The following is a 23,627-nucleotide window of genomic DNA, read 5'->3' as shown; positions in this document are numbered from 1 at the left end:
CTCAAACTCCTGTCTCCAACTCCTGTCAAGCGCTTCACCCGCTAAGCCTCCCAAAGTGCTGGGATTATAGGCGTGAGCCACTGCGCCTGGCCCCTAATTTACACTCTTAAAGGAGCATGCCAACTGCAGATGGAGAATGAATGGTAGGGGTGGTAGGAGAGGGAGGCCACCCCCGGAGGCTGTGGCGATGGAAAGAAAGATGAAGCTTCTTTCTGTTTCTAGAAGCAGATCTAGTCAAGTATCAGAGATTTACTGACATGTGCCACTGGAAAGGCCAAGTTTAGAAGATAATCTCTTGGACACGAAGAGCACATTTGTGCCTGATGGAATGTGTGAAAACATGCCTGTATTTCCTGCCACACACATGTCCTGCATCAAGTTCTACCATGATCGTCACACCTGGGCCATCGTTCACATCTGCTTCTAAACGACTGGTACAACTGTGTGTCTCTCTTTCTACTGTGCCTGGGCTGTCTCCTTGGGGTTTCGTTTTCATCTCTAAGTCTATTAAATTACTCCTTAAGGTTTCATGAGTATTTCCCCTGCAGTTTCCCAGAGTCCTACAAGCTGCTCAGCCATTGTTATCTTTTGAGACTTTTAAAGCTTTGATTAACTTAATAAATAAAAACACAGTTCTTGAGACAGGGTCTCACTTTGTCACTCAGGCTGGAGTGTAGTGGTGCGATTTAGGCTCGCTGCAACCTCGACCTCCTGGGCTCAAGCAATCCTCCCACCTCAGTCCCCAACCAAGTAGCTGAAACTACAGGCAGGCACCACCATGCTCAGTTAATTTGTGTTTTATTTTTAGTAGAGATGGAGTTTTGCCATGCTGCCCAGGCTGGTCTTGAACTCCTGGACATAAGCAATCCGCCTGCTTTGGCCTCCCAAAGTGCTAAGATTACAGGCATGAGCCAATGCGCTCAGCCTAAACACATACAATTCTAAACACTCAGAAATGCACACAATTCTTATAAACATGATCTACCCAGCACCTGTTCATGGTGAAGATTTTGAATGTTATTGGAGCGAGGTTTTCATGTGATCATCAAATGTTGGCCCACTCGGTGGCTGGACTGAAACACGAAAACTCCCGAAAGCTCTGCCTTAGGAAACACAATAATATATATGTTTGTTGAATGAATGAGTGAATGAACAAATTCTTAAAATTTATGGCAACCCCAAAAGTGGAAGTAGGAAAGAAATGTTCAAGGAACATTCTAGATGAAGCTGCTCAATACCATCTCCATTGTGATCTTGGGGGGCCTGGCTCAAAATTCTAGGTTTGCTCATCTCTTCTTCCTTCCCTCCCCTCTTTCCTCTCTTCCTCCTTTCTTTCTTCTTCTTTTGTTTGTTTTTTTTATTTTTAGTTATACCAGTCATACGGATAGCCCTCTCAGCAAATACTCAGTCCCTTCTCTAGAAGTAATCACTGTTTTTAGACTGGATGTATGCCTCTGAAATTAATTCTATGTACTTCTATGCATGATGACTGTGCTGTATATGTAAACATGTATAGCATTGTTTTGATATACATGTATTGCATTGTGTGCATCATTCTGCAGACTGTTTTATTTTCTCAGTGGTAATGGTACAGCTTCAAAAACTCTCCAAATCTCTATGTATAAATCTACTTCATGTTTAAAGACTGATACTCAGCATTTCGTAATTTACTGTACTTAGTATATGTAACCATTCTGTTTTTTCTTTTTATAATTGTGTGTGCGCATATGTTTGTGTGTGTGTGTATGTCTGTGTGTGTGTGTGTGTATGTGTGTGTGTGTGTGTGTGTTAAAACAAATATAGAACAGGGAAAAAACAAAAATGTATCGCTCAATGGTTTATCCCAAAGTGAACATCCATATAACCCTATTCAAGAAATAAAATATTACCAGCATTCCAGAAACCTCCTCTGTATTCCAATCACCATACCATCCCTCTCTGATTAAAGTAGCCACTACCCTGATTTTTATGGAAGTCATTTCCCTGATTTTTTAAAAGACAGTTTTACCATCACAACTTGTATTCTTAAATATTAGAGTTTAGTTTTGCTTTTTGAATTTCATATAAATGGAATCTTTCAGTACACCTTCTTTTGTGCTTGGTTTCTTTCACTCAAAATCATTTTTGGAGATTTCTCCATGTTGCTCCATGCAGCCAAGGTTCATTTGTTTTCGTGGAGTTTCTACCTTGTTGCCCAGGCTGGAGTGCAATGGCGCAATCTTGGCTCACCGCAACCTCCGCCTCCTGGGTTCAAGTGATTCTCCTGCCTCAGCCTCCCGAGTAGCTGGGACTACAGGCATGTGCCACCACGGCCAGGTAATTTTGTATTTTTTTAGTAGAGACGGAATTTCTCCATGTTGGTCAGGCTGGTCTCAAACTCCTGCCCTCAGGTGATCCGCCTGCCTCGGCCTCCCAAAGTACTGGGTGTGAGCCAGCTACTGTATTTTATTCAGTAAATACACCACAATTTATTTATCCATCCTACTGTTAAGGACAATTGGGCTGAGTAAATTCTGAGGCTGTTGGGAGCAGCTCTGCTTTAACTGTTCTTGTCCGTTTCTTGGTGCCCACGTGCATGCATTTCTATTGGGCACATATCTAGGAGTGGAATTGTTGGGTCATAATATACGCATATCTTCTACTTTAATAGAGAATGCTAAACTGTTTTCTCAAAGTGGCTATGTCAATTTATTCTCTTACCAGCCATGTATGAGAATTCCCTTTGCTTTACATCCTCACCAACAGTTATTATTATCAGTCTTTTTAGTTGTAACCATTATGATGGATGCATAGTTGAATCTCATTGAAACTATAAGTTCTCTGATTTCTGATTTATAGGTTTATTAATCTGGATAGCCTGTTTTATGAAGTACCCATCCCAGTGTCTTGTCCCTTTTTCTACTGGGTTATCTTATTCTTACTGGCTTGTAAGAGTTTTGTGTGTGTGTGTGTGTGTGTGTGTGTGTGTGTGTGTGTGTGTGTATTCTGAATAGTTGCTTACCTTTTCACCCTCTTACTGTCATCTTTTAATGAACAAAAATTCTTAATTTTAGTGAAATGTAATTTTTTTAATAGTTAATATATTTTGAGCCCTGTTTAAGAAGTCTTTATGTACACTAGAGTAGGAAGATATTATACTACGCTATCAACTAGAAGTTTTATTTTACCTTTCACATTTAGATCTGCAATTCACCTGAAATTGAATTTTACATATGGTGTGAGATAAGGATCAAGTTTAATTTTTTTCCATATGGATATCCAGTAGTCCCAGCACTATTTGTTGAAGAAAACTTTGTGAAATATCGAGTGTCAAAATACGCATGAGTCTGTTTCTAGATTTCTCCCTTCTCTTTGATTGATCCATTTATCTACTTATGCATATATATATATATATATATACTATGTAAATGGCTGTGGTTTTATGATAACCTGATATCCAGTAGAGCAAATCCTTCCATCTTTTTATTCTTCTAAAAAGTGTTTTGCTATTTTGGGCCCTTTGAATTTTTATACCTGTATGTTCTTTTGGATATTTTACGTATACTATGATACCATCTATGAATAATGAGTTTTATATTTTCCTTCCCACTTCATATATCTTTCATTTCATTTTATTGCTTTTCTTCGTTTGTCTAGGAGATTCAACACAATGTTTAATAGGAATGAGAGTGGACATCTGTATCTTATTCTCATTTTCAAAGAGAAACCTGTCAACATTTCACCATATGTTTGCCATAGGTTCCCCCAGATAACCTTTATAAGATTAAGGAAGTTCTCTTCCATTAAGAATATTTTTTATGAACGACAAATTTTATCAAAAGCTTTTTCTGCATCTCTGGGATAGTCATAGTTTTCTTTGTTTTGTTAATATAGTGAAATGCATTGATTAATTTTCTAAAGGTATTCTTGGAACAAATTTAATTTGGTCATGATATCTTTTGCATAGCTAGATTTGGTTGGCTGGTGTTTGTTTGGGATTTTTGCTTCTATGTGCTAGAGTCTGATTGTCTTGAATTTTCCTCTCTTGTAATATCTTTGGCAAGGTTACGCTTTCTTCATATGTCAGGTTCTGGGGAATTTATTTTTTTCTTTTTTCTGGGGCTATTTGTATAAGACTGGTGTTATTTCTTCCCTAAATGTTTATTATACTTCGTTGCTGAAGACTTCAGGGCCTGGTTTTTTGTTTTTTGTTTTTTGGGGGTTTTTTTAATAATTAATTTAATTTCTTTACCAATTATTCAGATTCAGATAGTCTGTTTTTCTTAAATCTATTTTGATAAGTATTGAGTTTTTCAAGGAATGTCCCATTTCATTTTTTGCATAAAGTTTCAAGATCTCCTTATCTTTTTGATACCTATTGGATCTGTAGTGATGTCCATCTTTGAATTTCTGACTCTTTGTTCTACTTTAAAGATAATCAGGCCTGAATCTTTACTGTCACACAAAAACCCTTTCCTTGTTTCTCTCGTCAGTAAAGCCAGACTTCACTTTGCCGCCTTTTCAAGCCACACGCATCCATCAAGGCTCTGCACAAGGTTTCACAGTCTCCATGTATATTTGATGACTATCTCATCCCTCACTTATTTCTCTCTTCTCTGAACATCTATTATTTTTATCTCTGCATTCTAATTTTTTCTTGATTATATACTTTTAAATTTTATTGCTTTGTCCAATCAAACTATATGTTTTCTGAGGGTAAGGACAAATATGACACTTCCAAATTTCTCATAGCACATGAATGGTCATAGTTACACAGAAGAACTCAGTCAAGAATGCTGATAGAGCAATAATAGATTAATCCTACAGTACATATAAACTCAATATTGCAGAAATGTCACAAAAAGAAGCTCTGAAAGGTTTGTTGATAAAACACTAAGATAATATCCTAAGATAGGAAAAATCAGGGCACAACTGAAACTGTTCACCAGTCAACCCTTGAATAATAAAGAAGTATTACCCTTTTATACCAGCCTCCATTGTAGTCTCTGCTGTTATAAAAATTAAGGTGTGCCAGCCGGGTGCGGTGGCTCACACCTGTAATCCCAGCACTTTGGGAGGCCAAGGCAGGCAGATCACAAGGTCAGGAGATCCAGCCCATCCTGGCTAACATGGTAAAACCCCGTATCTACTAAAAATACAAAAAAAAAAAAATTAGGCGAGTGTGGTGGCGGGTACCTGTAGCCCCAGCCACTCAGGAGGCTAAGGCAGAAGAATGGCATGAGCCCGGGAGGCGGAGCTTGCAGTGAGCCGAGATCGCACCACTGCACTCCAGCCTGGGCAACAAAGCGAGACTCCATCAAAAAAAAAAAAAAAATTAAGGTGTGTGGTTGGGCATGGTGACTCACGCCTGTAATCCCAGCACTTTGGGAGGCCAAGGCGGGCGGATCACCTGAGGTCAGGAGTTCAAGACTAGCCTGCCCAACATGGTGAAATCCAGTCTCTACTAAAAATACAAAAATTAGCTGGGTGTGGTGGCGCATGCCTGTAATCCCAGCTACTTGGGAAGTTGAGGAAGGAGAATTGCTTGAGCCCGGGAGGTGGAGGTTGCAGTGAACCGAGATCATGCTACTGCACTCCAGCCTGGGCAACAGAGTGAGACTCCGTCTTTAAAAAAAAAAAAAATTGAGGTGTTAACTTAATATACGTACATATTAAAAGTGAAACTATGAAGTCACAGAGTATTTATAAAAACTGTAGAGAAGGAAACAAGCAAAATGAGATTAAAATAGAGAAGAAAACTACTTTTAGCAGGACCTAAGAAAAACCCCACCTTTTGTTACAAAGTCTGACGAATATTGTCCAGATATAGTGCAACATGCACTAACTTGAAGACAACTCCAGGAGCCCCTATACAATTCTACAGTGAACAAGTCTAGTGCAATGCGACAGGTAAACCCATTTGGAGAGCCATTGGAAATAGAAAGACATAAAGACATTGGGAATACTGCAGAAAACATGAGGAAACTCAAAAATTCCTAGTTTTCATCCTTATTTATTTTTCTGAAGATTTTACATTCAAAATGCAACTTGCTATGCACATAGAGAATATCTCTCAGAAAAAAAATTCTAAAGTACATCAAAGCAACTTCAATTGGGGCACTGAAGAGCAAAATGAACACTTCTGAAATTCAATGTACAAATAACTTTTAATGTACAAATAACTTTTAAAAATTCTCCAAAAATGCAAACCAAAGAAATAGATATTTTAAGACTAAGATATGAGACATGAGACGCGATCTAAGAGTCAGCCACTTAAGTGAGTTTCAGTAGCAATGTCACTTAGAAGAGAAGCCATAATGCAAAAAATAATAAAAGAAAATTTCCTTTCACTAAAGAAAGGAAATAGCCGGGCACAGCGTTTACATCAAAAGGACCCACCAAACACTCGGCAGGAATACTAAAGAAGAGAGCCAACAAAACATGTCATGGTGAAATTCCTGAATCTTGAAGATGAAGAGAAAGTTCCATACACTTCCAAACAAAAACAAAGGACTACGTATTGAGAACATTGACCAAATTCTGAGGTAATTCTAGAAATCTCTTCCCATCCAAACTGTGATTCATGTGTGATTGTAAAAGGGAGACAGGTTTGGACATATAAAAATGAAGATTACATGTTTCTTCTGAAGAAGTTACTTAAACTTCTAAAAAGTTCTGAAGTTACTGAAGTTAAAGTTCTGAAGTTAAACTTCTTCTGAAGAAGATTACGTATAAAGATGAAGACCCCTTGTTTCTTCTGAAGTTACTTAAAGGGTAATCCAATAGAAATGCATCAGAGTAAGAATAACCAGAAAGGGAAGGTTTTGTGTATTCTAAATATAATTATTAGTTTGGTGCAAAAGTAATGGCAAAAACCATTATTTTAATGGCAAAAAACTGCACTTACTTTTGCACCAACCTGATAGCTCACATTTATTGAGCATTTACTATTGGTCAAGCATGTGATAATCAAAGAAAAAGACTTGGAATGCAGGAAAATAGAACATTCATTATTTTTTACCCTTTCTAAGAATAACCAAATTAAGAAAGAAGAAGCAGAATAAAGACATCAAGGAAAAAAGTCCAGTGTGTAATTGTAATAATAATAGCCAACATTTATTGTGGATTTACTCTGATTCAAGTACTATTCTGAACAAATCTAGATATAGTGTCTCATTTAATCACTCCAACATCACCATGGAGTAAGTATTATTATTATTATCCCTATTACACAGATTAGAAAACTGAGCTATAATAATAATTTGGCCAGATGCAGTGGCTCACGCCTGTAATCCCAGCACTTTGGGAGGCTGAGGTGTGCGGATCACCCGAGGTGAGGAGTTTGAGACCAGCCTGGCCAATACGGCAAAACCCCATCTCTATTAAAAATACAAAAATTAGCCGGGTGATGGCGTGTGCCTGTAATCCCAGCTACTTGGGAGTCTGAGGCAGGAGAATCGCTTGAACGTGGGAGGCAGAGGTTGCAGTGAGCTGAGATCATACCACTGCACTCCAGCCTGGGCCACAGAGCAAGATTCTGTCTCAAAACAAACAAAAAAAATAGGAAGGCCAGTGTGGCTGGAGTGAAGATAATGCAAAGAAAACAGTGAGAAGTAAAATGGGAGTGGTGCCCAGGAGCCAGATCGCCTAAGGTCTGCAGACCCCATGTGATGAGAAACTATAGCAAGGATCACTCGGTCTTCAGTTTGGAGACAAGATGATAGGGAGGCAAGAAGGAAAGAATCAAGACTGGTCAGAGCCTACTGTGGTATTCCACAGAGGTTGCAGTGAGCCGAAATCGTGCCATTACACTCCAGCCTGGACAACAAAAGTGGAACTCCATCTCAAAAAAAAAAAAAAAAAATAGCCTACTGTGGTATTCCAGAAGTGTGGTGGTGCTCTGGGCCAGGACAGTATTAGTGAGGAACTGGAGATGTGCTTGAAGGTAGAACCAACAGGATTGAATTTGGAGAGCGTGAGAGAAAGAGAGGATTCAAGTTTGATTTTAAAGTTTTCAACCTGAGTAACTGGGTGAATAGGTGCCATTCACAAAGATGGAGAACACTGGAGGAAGAGCAAGTCTGGGGACAGAATCAAGAGTTTGATTTTGGACATGTTACGTTTGAGATGCCTATTGGACATCCAAGTGAACATGTCAAATTGACAGGTGGAGTTTAGGAGAGAGGTTAAGACCGGAGATACAAATTTGAGAATTATCTGCAAAGGGTGCTGTTCAAGGCCATGGGACCAGATGAGATCACCCAAGGTGTCAGGTAAGTGAAAAGAGAAGCACTCTGAGGACTCAGTGTTGGACACCCCGATATTTAGGGGTGACGAACAGGAGGACAACTAAGCAAAAGAGAATGAGAGGGAACCTCCAAGAGGCAAAAGAACACTGAGATTATGTGGTATCACAGAAGCTACAGAAGGGGCTTTAAGAAACCAATACAAAAAATTCATTGACAGAGTAGTTGTACCATTTAATTTAAAATTGTTTAAAGGAGGCTTAAAATAGAAGACATAATGTTTTTAAAAATCCCTAAACAGTCTGAGAGGTAGTTTGAGGTAGTAGTTAAGACCTTGGGAAAAATAAGATAATGCTTATAAAATAAACATGATACATGGTACTTAACATTCAACAAGTAATAATTACAGATTCTTTTCATCATCATCATCAACAAGAAAATCTAGATTGTAGAGAGGTGACTAGGAGAATGAAAGCATGTTAAGTTTCTTGCGTTGCAGAGATGATAGAAGGGAAGGAGGGTTACATATGCTGTTTCAACCTTGATGTCGATAGAGAAATAAAAAATAGATTTGTTAAAAATTTAAGAATGCCTGATAGAATATAATATTTTCTTTTATTTAAAAAATACTTCATATTAAAAATTAAGATATAGTCATATACTATAAAATTCACCTTTTAAAGTTTACAATTTAATACATTTTAATATATTCACAAAGTTGTGCAAACATTATCATTATCTCATTTTAATCGCCGCAGAAAGCACCTCCACACCCATTAGCAGTCATCTCCCATTTTCCTGTCTCCCCACGCCCAGGTCCTGGCAGCCACAAATCTTTCTGTATCTATGGATTTGCCTCTTCTAGACATTTTATATACAATAGTTCCCGTTATCCGCACTTTCCATTTTCTGTAGTTTCAGTTACCCATGGTCAATCATGATCAGAAAATATTAAGTAGAAAATTCCAGAAGTAAAGAATTCATATGCTTTACATTGCACGCCATTCTGAGTAGCATGATGAAATTTTGTGCTGTCCCACCTGGGATGTGAATCATCCTTGGTCCAGCATATCCATACTGCATACACTACCTGCTTGTTAGTCACTTAGTAGCCATCTTGGTTATCAGATTGAAAAACATCGTATACATAGGGTTGGGTACTATCTGTAGTTCCAGGCATCCAGTGGGGATCTTGGAATGCAGAAAAGGGGGGGCTACTGTAAATGGAATCATACAGTATGTGGCTGTTGATGTCTGGCTTCTTTAATTTAGCACAGTGTTTTTAAGGTGCATTCCTGTTGTATCATGAATCAGTATTTCATTCCTTTTTATGGCTGAAAAGTATTCCATTAGATAGGTACACCACCTTTTGTTTATCTGTTCACTAGTTGATGGACATTTGGATTGTTTTTATTTTCTAGCTATTATGAATAATGCTGCTATGAACATTCACATACAAGGTTTCTTGTGGGCAAATGTCATTTCTTTTGAGTATGTACCTAGGAGTGGAACAACTGAGTCACATGAAAACTCTATGTTTAACTTTTTGAGGAACTGTCAAACTCTTTCCCAAAGCAGCTTCACAGTTTTCTATTCCTACCAGTAATGTATGGAGGGTTCAGCTTCTCCATATTGGCAACACTTGTTATTGACTGTCTTTGATAATAGTCATTCTAGTGAATGTGACATGATATCTCACTGTGGTTTTAACTTCCAGTTCCCTGTGACTAATGATATGGAGCATCTATTCATGTGCTCATTAGCCATTTGTATATCTTTACTGGAAAAATATGTATTCGACTATAGTGCCCACTTTTAATCTGGGTTGTCTTTTAATTGTTGAGTTGTAATAGTCCTTTATATTATAGGGGGAAGAAGAGAACTCTTCCCCCATCACCCTCTGAAGGTTTGCTGAAAATAAACTGACAAAGGCAGATTAATAGAAGAAAAAAGCATACAGATTTATTTTAACACATCACATTGGAATTGCAGGAGAATAATTACCCAGTAACCCAAAGGGATACACATGCTTATATATTCTTCTTCATAGGGAAAAAGAACATGGGGAAATGTGGCTGATTTGAGGGATAGTAAATGATTTTTAGGGGAAATGAATGGGTCTAATGCTCAGACAATGGTTAGTAAATAGTTTTCTTTGGAAATTGAATGGGACAGAGAGAAGACAGTGGTTTGGGACAAAGTTTGTCTGGTGTTTAATTTTCAATCTCTTCCTCTGTGTTATGAGTTTATTCTTCTCTAGTTAAATTTCAGGGAAGGCAATTGTGTTTCTCTTTAGTAGGTTCAGTGTCTAGGTAGATAAGGGAATTTCAGTGAACAACTACATTCTGTGCTTTGAGAGAGACAGAGGAATAGTCGGGTGCAGGGACCAGGGAGGTCAGAGAGACCTCGAGGTTGCTTCATGTCAAAGTGTCCTATTTGGGGGTAATGTTTTCTGAGCCCCAACAATATATTCTGGATACTAGACCCTTATCAGACATGTGATTCAACAATATTTCCTCCCACTCTGTGACTTGTCTTTTTCCTTTCTTGATCGTGTACTTTGAAGCACAGATTTTTAAAATTTTGATGAAGTCCAATTTATCTATTTTTTCTTTGATTGCTTATGCTTTTAGTGTCATAGCCAAGAAACTTGCTTAATTAAAGGTAATGATTATTTACATCTATGCTCTCTCCTAAGAGTCTTACAGCAAAGTCTTTGATCCATTTTGAGTTAAATTTTGTATATGGTGTAAGGTAAGGGATCCAATTTCTTCTTTTGTGCATGTGGATATCCAGTTATCTCAGCACCAGTTGTTGAAAAGACTATTTTCCCCCCATTGAATGTCCTGGCACTATTGTTGAAAATCAATTGACTATAAATATATGGGTTTATTTCTGGACTTTTAATTCTATTCCATTGTCTATGTCTATCCTTAGGTCAGAACCACACAGTCTTGATTACTGTAGCTTATGTTTTGAAACTGGGAAATGTGAGTCCTCCAATTTTGTTATTCTTTTTCAGGATTGTTTTAGCTATTGTGGATCCCTTGAATTTATATATGAATTTTAGAATCAGCTTCTCAATTTCTAAAACAAAACAAAACAAAAAAAAAGCCCAGCATCTGGAATTTTTATAGTGATTTCAATTTGGAGAAAATTGCCATTTTCCAGTCCATGAACACAGGAATGTCTTTCCATTTATGTAGGTCTTCTTTAATTTCTTTCACCAATGTTTGAGAGTTTTCAGTTAAAAGTCTTACACTTCTTTCATTAAATTTATTCCTAAACATTTTTGGATACTAAGTGGAATTGTTTTTCTTAATTTCATTTTTGTGTTGTTCACTGCTAGCTTACGGAAACAAAATTGATTTTTGTATATTGATCTTGTGTTTTGTGGATTCCTTAGGAGTTTCTGTATATGAGACATTTTTCCCTGTATAGCCACGGTTTCCTTTAGTTTTTTAGGGTTTTTAAAACATATTTAACATAGTTGATTTAAGTCTTTGTATAGAAAATCCAGTGTCTGTGCCCTCTTGGGGACAGTTTCTATTGAGTGTCTTTTTCCCTGCATATGAGACAGACTCTCTTGTTTCTTGGCGTGTTTCATAATTTTTGGTAAAAACTAGACTTTTAAAACAATATAACATAGCAACTCTGGAAATCAGATTTTGCCCTGGGTTTGTTGTTGTTACTATTTAATTGGTATTGTTTGGTTGGATGGTTGGTGACTTTCCTGAACTAATTCTATAAAGGTATATTCTTTGTTTTGTGTGGCCAGTGAGTCTCGACCAGTTAGCTTAGTGGTCATTTAATGATTCAACAAAGACTTCCTTAGATGACTGGAACCAATAAGACTCTCAGTCTTTACCAAGAAGTTCTGCGTGTGTTTCCTTCAGCATTCAGCCAAGCACCTTACAGCTCCATCTTAGCCTTCACTTCCTGCTTCAGCAGAGGCTCAAGGTTGGCCAGAGGTGAGAGCCAGGGTCTTCTTGGATATTTCCTGGGCACACACACAGCACTGGGTGTCCACACAGCCCTAAACATTTGTATGGCTTTCTATATTCCCAGGAATATTGTTAGAACTTTTTAAAGCGCCCACTCTCTCCAAGGACATCCCATTCCTCTGCTTTTTCTTTTATGTTTTTTGGTTAGCACATTGTCTATCCCACTTGTTATCCACTACCTCAGTCAGCTGTGAGGTTCAATAATTGACCCTACTCTCAAGGCTGCTTTTATTTGTGCTGGATGAGCTCTAAGTCAGCTCAAATAAAAACAGCCTTGCAAGTAGTGTGACCAGAGAGGTCAAATAATGACAATTCTCCGAGAATGGGCCTTGAGGAGCTCTAAGCCCTTCCAGTGACTGCCGGACTTTCCCCTGTGGTCACAGGTCGTTTTGCAGGCTGTTGGATTTCACAGCTAATGTGGTGCTGGGGAGGGTGGGGATGGGAATACGGCAAGTTAAAGTGCCACAAAGCTCCCTGTTCTTACCAAGATTCTGCTGTTTTCTTAAATAAATGTTTCCCAGATTGCTGCAAGCCTTTGGTTAATTTCCAAAGTTCTGAAAACGTTGATTCTGACATTTTTTGATAATGTTCTTGTTGCTTTTATGGAGGAGGGAATTTTCGGAGATCCTTATTTGCCATTTTGGCTGGTGTCCTAGAATACAATTTTAATGGAAACTTTGAACCCTCTAGAAGTGCACCGTGTAGTGCAGCAGCCACTACTAGTACACGTGGCTGTCAAACCCTTGAAATGTGGCTGGTGCGAACTGAGACGTGCTCTAAGTATAAAACACACACTGGCTTTCAAAATACACTCTCTCTATATATATATCCATAATCATTTTTACTCCAAATATATTTTGAAATGATAATATTCTGGTTATATTAGATCCAGTAAAATGTATTGTTAAAATTAATCTGGAGCCTGATGCAGTAGCTCACACTGTATCTCAGCACTTTGGGAAGCTGAGGCAGGAGGATTGCTTGAGCCCAGGAGTTTGAGACCAGCCTAGGAAACATAGTGAGACCCTGTCTCTATAAAATAATAACAACGCATTTTTTTAAAACTAATTTTGCTTCTTTAAACCTTTTTTAACGTGTGTGGTAAGCAGGATTCTAAGATGATCCCCAATGAGTCATGCCTTCATGGCTGCTAGAAAAGTTTAAATCACAAATGTGGCCTTGATATACTTCTGTTGAACAGGGTTGATCCAGGAGGAAAAGAAATACAAAGGAAACTATTAATCTGTTAAAATGAAACAAAATTAAATCCATTAAAAATTAGAAAGAAACAAGAAAGAATAATAAACAGAAAATATCAAACATGATTATAGGAATGAGACTCAACATATTGTTTGTTAGATTCTATATAGTGGAATGCTTGAAGATGTCAACATGATGAGCATTGTGTTAGACTGATTCCTGGGGAACATCTGAGTTGGAGGTTTGTGGGCTGGCATTTTACTGGGAAAGGCCTTCAGTTACAATGAATACCTGAGGGAATGAGGGCAGCAAGAGGGGACAGAAAGAGAAGTCAAACTGAGATGCAGGTGGAACGGGGGGTCTCAGCCGATCCCACAGGAAACTCTGGAGCTGGGGAGCTTCTCAGAGGGAAGACTGAGCCTCTATGCTCCACATTGGCCAAACATTGGATGTGAATTGTCCTCTGGAGAGAAGGTGTAACCTTGCCAATGGCAAATCCTGAGAAAGGGCTTACCTGTGACCCATCACCAGTCAGCTTCCTGACAGCCGGGGAATGAGTGCCTTCACTCTGAAGCAGCATCTGAGAGCACACCATATCATCTGCTACAGAAGTTGTCTGCCATACAGTAAGTGAAAAGAAGCAGATTATAGACACTATATGTTAAGCATTAAAATATAGGTTGATATATAGGCATTAGAAAGGCCAGAAAAGGAGCACATGAAATCATTAATGAAGGTTCCCTTGAGGAGGATGAGGGGAAGGGTTAGTGGTGGCTGAGATGGGGGAAAGTATGTAACATCAGGTATTCAAATACTTTGTATTGATCACATATCACCAGGAAAAAAATACAGAAACTAATGCGAGGTTTCCAGTATGGGCATGCCTATGGTGATCAACTGTGGGTTCAGGATTGAAAACCTCAGAATTAGAATTGCTTTCTGAATTTTGCCTTCAACATCTCCCTAGACTGTACAAATAGACAACAACCCCGGGCAGTTCTGACATTAATGAGAATGATGCCGCCATCACTAAATTCCTCCTGGGCCAGATGGCATCTGCCTCATTGTACAAACTTCATCTTTTTAAAGTCACATATCTACTTATTTTATCTGGTTGAATTATTCCAGTAACTTTCTTGGCACCAGAAAAAGAGATAGCAAATATTAATTCTGCTCTTTTTATCACGTCAACGGAGTTTCTTCTCCACACTTGGTTTTCTCAATCACCTAAACAAAAATAGCAGTTGGGGCCTCCTTGCATCCTGAAAGAGTCATGGGGAATTTTCCAGGGAAAGGAAGGCATGGCATCTGCCACCCCCTTGTTGGGAGAGGATTTGTTTTAATTGTTCCATAATCTGGGGTGTCAACTATTCAGCAATCAGTGTAATAACAGAAACTAACCAATTAGAATGGACACAAGCCCTTGGGGAGGTTGGAAGGTATCCAGGCAGTGGTTACTTGACAACCAGTGTGAAAGTAGTTCAATATTTTAACAGGTCGAGATGTACCTGCCAAACACCAGTGCAAATGCAGGCACATGGTGGGTGAGGGATGGGTTGATGAAGCTCACTGAGTAAATGAATGGCTCCAAATTGGCCTAAAACTCCACCATACTTAACCTCTGCAACATGTCAGCTGGATAGGAAAGCACACCACAAATTCATCTGGCTCCGACTCGCCCACTTCTTCCCATGACCCAGCCTGAGTCACCGGCATCTGTAGGTTTATCACAGCACTCTACTCCAGGAAAGACAAAGGTACACAAAACAGAGGAAGAGCCGTCTCCCCTTGATTAAAAGTCCGTGTGTGTTCCGCAGTCTTCTCCAGAACACCAAGAGTGGGAGGCAGGAAAAGGATGGTGGGTTTTTTATTACACTTTGAAATGCCACCAGACTTGTGGTAAATTGAAACATTGTTTTAAGGAATTATAGGTATTTCCAGGCAGGAGAAATGTGAGCTCCATTTGATCACAGTAATGTTGACTTTAGGCTTCCTTGGGCAGAAATCTAAAACCAACATGGATAAATGGATGCTCTAAAACATCTAACGTGGGCAGGGTACTGAAGATTTGTCCATGCCTCTGCTTTTTTATTTAAATGTGAAAAATTGCACAAGTCACCTCTATCTTATTTGACCTCTGCCCGTAGTCCGCTTCACAGCCTAAATCAGGTGATGAGACTCTCCAAGGTCCAAACTCCTTACTAGGTCCAACCTCCCCGCTGGTTACAACCTTCCTACTGGGTACCAGTCTCCCAGTGTGCAGCAAACTCCCTACTGGGTACCAAGCTCCCCCCGGGTGCCACCTCCCCACTGGTACCAATCTCCCCAGTAGGGTACAACCTCCCCCCTGAGGAAAACCTTCCTCTGGTACCAGTCTCTCCAATGGGTACAGCCTTCACCCTAGGTAAAACCTCCCCCCTGGTACCAGTCTCTCCAATGGGTACAGCCTTCCCCCTGGGTAAAACCTTCCCCCTGGTACCAGTCTCTCCAATGGGTACAGCCTTCCCCCTGGGTAAAACCTTCCCCCTGGTACCAGTCTCTCCAATGGGTACAACCTTCCTCCTGGGTAAAACCTTCCCCCTGGTACCAATCTTTCCAATGGGTACAACCTCACCAATGGGTGCTAGTCTCCCCAGTGAGTACTAATTTTCCCACTGGGTACCATCATCCTCCCTGGATACCAACCTCCCTGCTGAGCACACCCTCCCCCTTGGGCGCATCCTCCCCACTGGGTACCATCCTCCTTCCTGAGTAACAATCTCCTCACTGAGTCCCCACCTCGTCAATGGGAACCAGCCTCCACATTAGTACGACCACCTCTCTGTATACCACCCACCTTGCTGGGTGCTAATCTCACTGGGTACCATTTTCTGCTAAAGACGAGTACTCTCATGTTGCCTGAATGAGTGTTACCTTCCCAACCAAGAGCAAGAATCATCCGTATCTGTATGCCCCTTGACAGTTGACAAAGCACCTTCATTCTCACGGTCCCCTTTGACCTTTGATCCTCACCACTGCCCGGGATTCACATTCACATTCTTATCATTTTACCCAAATGTCCTGTTCTTTTCATGATGCTAGGCTGCACCATGGTACCCATGGGGTGTTGACACCTGTGCAAACTGGCTCAACCTGAGAGGACAAGCCCATGCCCATACACCCTGCTGCTGTCATATCCCAGAACCACAGGGTGCAGATTCTCTGGATGCCTAGCTTGGAAGGCGATGGGGAAATGTAGGCACTTGGAAGAAGTTGCGCTGCTGTTTCTGCACCTCCCTTCCAAGTACGGTGACAAGATAAAGTGATGACGTAGGTCAAGCATGTATTGTCATGCCTGGCACAACAAATGTCTGGGGCTGGTATGAGTCCAATATAGAAGGATACCTGGGAGAAAAGTCTCCTTTACACCCAGGGCAGCACTTTCATGCCAAGGTGGGTTAACTGAGTAGTTCTACCTCTTGCTTGGCATGAAAGCTGAGGGCTTGTCCAAATAATTTCCTTTGCAAAGCAATGCACTGTCCCTCCCATGAGGTCTCCATGTCTGTGCAAACTTGTTCTAAACCTGCAGAGGACCAGGCATGTGCCTATACCACATGCTGTGCCCACATTCCAGAGCTCTTAGTTCTGCACAGCAGGGAGAGGACTTGTACCACCGTGCGCAAAGAGGGCTCCCAGGCCAACATCCAGCCAGGCCTGGCATGGGAGCCCGTTCAGTCACTGCAAAAGACAATATCATTGAGCTCGACTTCAGGACTCACAAATGGATGGGTCCAGCCCCACTGATCTTGTACAAGACAACTGTCCTTGGCTCCAAAGGACACCTGGGGTCTTTAGTTTCCAACACTCTCAGTGTGGCTAGTGGTCTACGAGAGTACATCAGGATTTCCATATAGACTCAGCAGTTCCAAATGATGTACCACAATATAACACAGCTCATATGGAAGGAGGTGTGCTTAGTGAGCTATGCAAGGTATTACTACGCAGGTGTTATAAACGGAAGGAGATGAGAGGAGCTGATAAGCCATTTTGTTTTGAGAGATCTATGATCTGAACAAGTTTGAGAAATCTGGGGGGCAAGGGGGGACAAACCAGCTGATTTCCAAATTCCAGACCCTCTTTCGGGAGTCAAAGCTTGGCTCACCAAAATTGCACCTGGAAAACAACCATCTCTTTGTCCTTGAGCTTAACCTCAGAAGACTTCTGGAATCTAGTGGGATCAGAATTGGAAGGGGACCTGGCAAATTTTCTTTAGGCGAAAAAAAAAGCAAAAATAACAAAACGGCTCCCTGCTACACCCCACCCAGGAACCCCCACCTCACTGCCCACCAAAAAAAAAAAGAAAGAAAGAAAAAGAAAAAGTAAAAGAAAAAACAAAACAAAACAGATCCAGGGAGATTTTCCTCTTTCTCCCTGCTTCCTTTTCTTTGAGTGTTTTATCAACTACTGCAGTGGGTGGCATCTGAGCTACTGGTGTTTTCCTACTTAGAGGAGAAAGAAAATTCCATTAACTGAAGAATAATATGGTTGACTGCCCCACACGGCAGAGGCATGCAGCACACTGCAGACTTGTTTTCTGTGTCGTTCTCAGGACTCTGAGGTCTAGACTCACTGGCTCCTGTTCCCTAGGTTGTCCAGGTCTTTGGGGGTGTGACTACCGCCCACAGGGAAAGGACAGTGCGTGCTGATAGGAAGCACAGGAACACGGGAGGGAAGAAGAGGATGAGAGCGGTGTATCAGGTGAACCATTTCTTGTTCAAGAAAGAAAATAAAGAAAAACTAATCTAGGCATAAATCTGTACTACAGCTCATGCTGAGACTCTGGAAGTACAGTCAGGGTCTAGAATCATCCAGAACACACACACGGATTGACTCCCACCAGTCCCTTACCCTTTGGGGTGAATGACCCCAACCTTCCTGTTTTGTGTGCATGTGTTTTTTAAGATGGTCAGGTCTCATACTGTTAAGTATAAAATGGTAAAACTAATTGGGAAAACTGAAAGTTTCTTATACCGTTAAACACATAACTACTGTATGCCTCTGAAATTCCATTCCTAGGTATATTTACCCAAGAGAAATGAAAACATATGTCCACACAAGGACTTGCATAAGAATGTTCCTAGCAGCTTTATTCAGAATAGTTCCAGACAGCAAATAACCCCACGTATCAAGAGGTGCATGGATAAACAAATTGTGTTTAAAATTATATTAGTTTCCTATTGTCACTATAACAAATTACCACAAAATTAGTGGCTTAAAACAGGCCAGGCGTGGTGGCTCATGCCTGTAATTCCAGCACTTTGGGAGGCCAAGACAGGTGGATCACCTGAGATCAGGAGTTCGAGACCAGCCTGGCCAGCATGATGAAACCCTGTCTCTACTAAAAACACAAAAATTAGCTGGGCACCGTGGTGGGCACCTGTAATCCCAGCTACTCGGGAGACTGAGGCAGAGAATCCCTTGAGCTGGGAGGCAGAGGTTACAGTGAGCTGAGATCACACCACTGCACTCCATCCGGCCTGGGAGGCTCTGTCTCAAATAACAACAACAAAAACAGTACGAATTTATTCTTTTTCAGTTCTAGAGGTCAGAAGTCTAAATTCAATTTCACTGGGCTAAAGTCAAGGTGTTGGCAGGGCTGGTTCCCTCTGGGGGCTCTAGGAAAGAATCCATTTCCTGGCCTTTCTGTCTTCTGGCGGCCCCCTACGCTCCTCCAGTCTCTGCCTCTGTGATCACATTGTCTACTCTTCTTCTGTAGTCAATCTCCCTTGGCCTTCCTCTTACTTGTGATGACATCTAGGGACCACCTGAATAATCCGAGCTAATCCTTCATCTCGAGATCTTTAATTCAGTCGACATCTGCAAAATCTCTTTGGCAGCATAACGTTCAAAGTTTCCAGGATTAAGACCTGGATATCTTTGGAGCCATCATTCAGGAATATACTAACTAGGAATAAAAAAGAATGAGCTGTGATACACACAAGATAGACGAATCTCAAAAACAGAATGTGGAGCCAAAGAAGCCAGACCGAAAAAAAAGAGGCCAGCCATGTGATTCCATTGAGATGAAGTTCTAGAACAGGTAAAACTAATCTGTGTTGATAGAGATCAGAACACTGGTTGTCTGGGGGGCAGGTGATTTACTGGAAAGGAACACAGAGAACTTTCTGAGGTGATAGGAATGTTCTGTATCTTGATGATCTTCATGGGAGGGTTGATTACAGGGGTGTATACATTTATCAAAACTCAGGGAACTGTACGCGTTACAGCTGTGCATTTCATTATATGTACATTTTTCTCCAATGGGAAAATAAGTGTTGGGGGAAAGGTAAATAACAACAAACAAAACGGAGAGAGAGAGAGAAGGGAGGGAGGAGAAGGAGAAGGTAGCAGTGGAGGGAGGCAGGAAAATAAAAAGCAAAGCTCAATCTATTTGAGGAACACATTGATCATTTTCCTCTCTTATTATGGAAGGAGCTTTGACTCAGAAGAGAGAAGGACTGGACTCTAACCTGCTTGAGGTTAGCTATTCCCCAGCCCCTTCCAGCACTTAAGGCACCTAACCCAATTAGCCCACCTTAGATAAATGTACAAAACAAGACACCCAAAGGGAAACCTGAAATATATTGAACACTTCCTTCCTCCCACTAGAAGTGAGAAAATCATCATATTTTTAATGTATCAACTGTTTCCACTTCTCACACTCCCTTCTAGAATCCACACATATTTCTGTGTATTTTTTAGAGTGTTGTTATCATGGCAGAGGGATCACTTATCTTCTGTCTTTTTCATTTAACATCAGACAGACACATTTTCCCATTTTGCTAGGGAGGCTTCATAAACAACCCTTTTGACCATTGGATAATATTTCACCAAATTGATTGATTTGTTATCATTTACTTAGCCTTTTCTGTCATATTGGACACTTAGGCTATTTCCTTTTTTTCCCCCCATGGAAAAATAATAGAGTAATGACTATGTGCATACACATGCTTTTGTTCTTTTTTTTAAATTATTTGAGACATGAATACTGAAATAATAAATAAATAAGGGGAAAAGGAAGCAGCAAAGAAACCCCTATCATAGAATTTAGGGTTCGAGACACCTCCAGAACACCTGGTCTAAAGCCCTAATTGTACAGAAGAAGAAACTGAAACCAGGGCGTGTTTGAACTCACACGCCCAAGGTCACAGTGTGACTAAGTCACAGATCTGCGACTCAACTGAGGACTTCTGAGTGAGTGCAGCGCTCTCTAATCCAAACAAAATAAGCACAAGCCATGCCATCTGCCTCACCTGCACAGCCAACACCAACAGGAATGAATTACTGCTGTCTAACCTTGTCATAAAACTGCGTCGCCCAGCTCAGTTATGAGAGAAATCACTTAAACTAAGAAGAACAGTTGGTCGAGCCCGTAGTGTTAGCATGAGATTCGATTTTAAGCTATCCTTTAGCTCAGCCGCAAAGATAAATACCTCATCTGGAAATTGGAGAGAAAATTCCATTCTTTGCATTTGTGTGTTTGGGAGATGCTCTGGGTACATGTGAGTGAAAATGAAAGATTGTTGACTCTCAACTATCTTCACAAATAGCAGAAAACCCTGTCATGGATCATCCAAAGAGAAACTAATCCAAATATAATTTGCAATGTGCTTTACATAATTTTCTGGCAGTGGATTCACTTTCTTAACTGTTTACCATAAAATTTGAGTTTTTAGAGTATTCATCTATTGAAACGACTTGATCTATATAACATACTGGAAGAAAGACCGCTATTTACAATGGGCCTGTTTTGTGCCGGGCCATAAGCTAGACACTTTACATATGCTGTCTTGTGGATTGTTATCCTCAATAAGTAGGAATCTGAGGCTCAGATAGATTAAGGAACTTCCCCAAAATCACCTAATGAGAGTTATAAAGTCAAAATTCCATTCCAACACTGTCTAAACCCCACTCATTTTCAATTCTACCAGGAAGATCAGATCAAACTTCATTCAACAATTTATTTATTTATTTATTTTTTGAGACAGAGTCTCACTCTGTCACCCAGGCTGGAGTGCAATGGTGTGATCTCAGCTCACTGCAACCTCCACCCCCCGAATTCAAACAATTCTCCTGCCTCAGCCTCCCAAGTAGCTGGGATTACAGGCTCCCGCCACCACAACCGGCTAATTTTTGTATTTTTAGTAGAGATGGGGTTTCACCACATTGGTCACACTGGTCTTGAACTCCTAACCTCAGGTGATCCACCTGCCTCGGCCTCCCAAAGTGTTGGGATTACAGGCACGAGCCACAGCGACTGACAACAAATATTTATTTATGTCCCATCTATGTGTGGAATCCTGTTTGCTAGGTAACACGGGTATAAAAGTAAATAAGAGAAACACCTCCCTTCAGTAGTGCACAACCTAGCAGATGAAGATAGAAGCAATCGCATGTAGAAGGTCCTACAAAAGTACTTGATAAATAAAAGAATGAAGAATTAGAGGTTTGTAAAGCAGGTCACATATTTACGGTCAGTCAATGACAGACTGCTTAAAATGCCAATCAGCACGGTCATATTCTTGATTGTTTCTTACAGGATGTAAATGTCATGCAAATATTCAATTCTACCCCAACTCTGAGACAAAAAGTATTTTGAATCCCCTTTCCCACTGGGGTCAAGAATAAACAAGCTGAGTTTCCTGAAATCTAAGCAATAAACTAGATACTGTTCCACTTCTTCCCTATGATGAAATATAATACTCTAAGTATAATAAGTTGTTTAAGTAATGTAATTAAATTAATGGTTTTTGAATGATGCCAATTGTGGTTGTAAGTAACCAGAAAAATTTCCAATTCAAAAAAATTTGGCAGTAGAAAAAAATTATCTGTCCTTAAAAAAAAAAAAAATCTACAGAAAGGAAAACCCCAGGCTGATTACATCAGCTGCTTAACGACGTCACCAAAGACCCAGGTTCTTTGCATCTTCCCCCGCTTCCATCCTCAGATGTCCGATTAGTTGCCCTCATGGTTGTACCATGCTGCCATAATTCCAGGTATCACATGCTGAGGCAGAGACTTGCGCTGTGCTGACCACGTCATTCTTCCACCTCAGCATGCAGGAAAACTACATTTCCCAGCTTCCCTTGCTGTTAGTTGAGGGCATATGACTGGGCCTGGCCAATGAGATGTACACCAAAGGGATGAGCCTAACTCCGTGTGAATGACCCACCCTCTCGCTTCTTCTGTAAGTCATACATCTGGCAGCATCACAAGGTGAAAGGAACCTGGGTCCCTGAATCTGCACTTGAGGAGAGATGCTGACCCAGTGAACAATAAATAAATATGTATGAGTTTAGGCCACTAAAATCTTGGGGGTGTTTGTTACAGCAGAATTGCCAATATCCGGCAGAAAGAGAGAGGGGCTACCTTCTCTCAGTGGTGCATTCCTGACCCTGGGGCTTAGTCAGCCAGGAAAAGTGAGTGCGTAGGAGGGGCAGTCAGAATGTCTGCGGAACCCCGCTTCCATCTGGGCTACGTGTGTCTGCCTCAGAATCTTCTGTTTACCTTGTCAGCTCTCCCATTCTGGCCAGTGGACCACTTTGTTTTCACTTCTCAAGCCCCCCAGTTGACCTGCTCTGCCTTCCTTTAAGTTGGCCTTACACTCGGGCTCCCAGAGAGCTGTCCGGCAGGAACCAGCTTTGCTTCCTGCAGCCAGACCTCCAGACCCACCTGTGCACCCCAGTACTCTACTCTGGATCCCGTACTTACCCCTTTTGGACACCTCGCTCACTGACAGATTCTTCCTTTTTTATTTTTATTTTTATTTTTATTTTATTTTTTTTTTTTGAGACAGAGTCTTGCTCTGTCGCCCAGGCTGGAGTGCAGTGGTGTGATCTCGGCTCACTGCAACCTGCGCCTCCCGGGTTCAAGCGATTCTCCTGCCTCAGTCTCCCGAGTAGCTGGGACTACATCTTCCCTTTCTTATACAGTCAAGTGCCGCATAACGACGTTTCAGTCAACAACGGGCTGTGTATACCACAGCTCCCGTAAGACCATAATGGAGCTGAAAAATTCCTATCGCCCAGTGACGTGCTAGCCATTGTAATGTTGTAGCACAATGACTTCATGTGTTTATAAATTTAGTGTAGCCATACAGTGTTCATAAAGTCTATAACAGTGTTTATAAAGGAGTGGGCAGTAATGCCCCTCACATTCA

The 23,627-nt window shown here is 40.7% G+C and overlaps 1 long non-coding RNA gene across 2 annotated transcripts in view, besides 3 other annotated features; it reads right to left on the bottom strand.

Moving 5' to 3' along the window:
* Positions 1-865: 865 nt before the first annotated feature.
* Positions 866-23,627, bottom strand: part of LOC105372790 (uncharacterized) — a 69,113-nt gene continuing 46,351 nt past the window's right edge. Inside the window, exons 3-4 of one of the 2 annotated variants that reach the window (XR_937681.3) lie at positions 13,944-14,045; positions 866-1,103 (exon numbers count right to left, since the gene is read on the bottom strand). This is a non-coding gene — a long non-coding RNA (uncharacterized LOC105372790). Of the gene's footprint in view, positions 1,104-10,161; positions 13,473-13,943; positions 14,046-23,627 lie in introns of those variants that run through there. The other variant, XR_937680.3, reaches the window with a different exon arrangement.
* Positions 5,594-5,643: an enhancer, noted in NCBI's record as "active region_18393". NCBI's record gives its function as "activates an Ori minimal core promoter by ATAC-STARR-seq in GM12878 lymphoblastoid cells {active_cell/tissue: GM12878}" and the evidence as "EXISTENCE:reporter gene assay evidence [ECO:0000049][PMID:35858748]".
* Positions 14,257-15,456: an enhancer, noted in NCBI's record as "MED14-independent group 3 enhancer chr21:35409658-35410857 (GRCh37/hg19 assembly coordinates)". NCBI's record gives its function as "activates an origin of replication core promoter dependent on BRD2, BRD4, P300/CBP and CDK7 cofactors, and independent of MED14, by STARR-seq in HCT116 cells {active_cell/tissue: HCT116}" and the evidence as "EXISTENCE:reporter gene assay evidence [ECO:0000049][PMID:35650434]".
* Positions 20,506-20,605: an enhancer, noted in NCBI's record as "active region_18392". NCBI's record gives its function as "activates an Ori minimal core promoter by ATAC-STARR-seq in GM12878 lymphoblastoid cells {active_cell/tissue: GM12878}" and the evidence as "EXISTENCE:reporter gene assay evidence [ECO:0000049][PMID:35858748]".

This window comes from Homo sapiens, chromosome 21 (genome assembly GCF_000001405.40).
Source record: "Homo sapiens chromosome 21, GRCh38.p14 Primary Assembly".
In the NCBI taxonomy this organism is placed as follows: Eukaryota; Metazoa; Chordata; class Mammalia; order Primates; family Hominidae; genus Homo; species Homo sapiens.
Note: the sequence above shows the minus strand (reverse complement) of the source record. Positions and strands in the feature narration are given on the sequence as shown.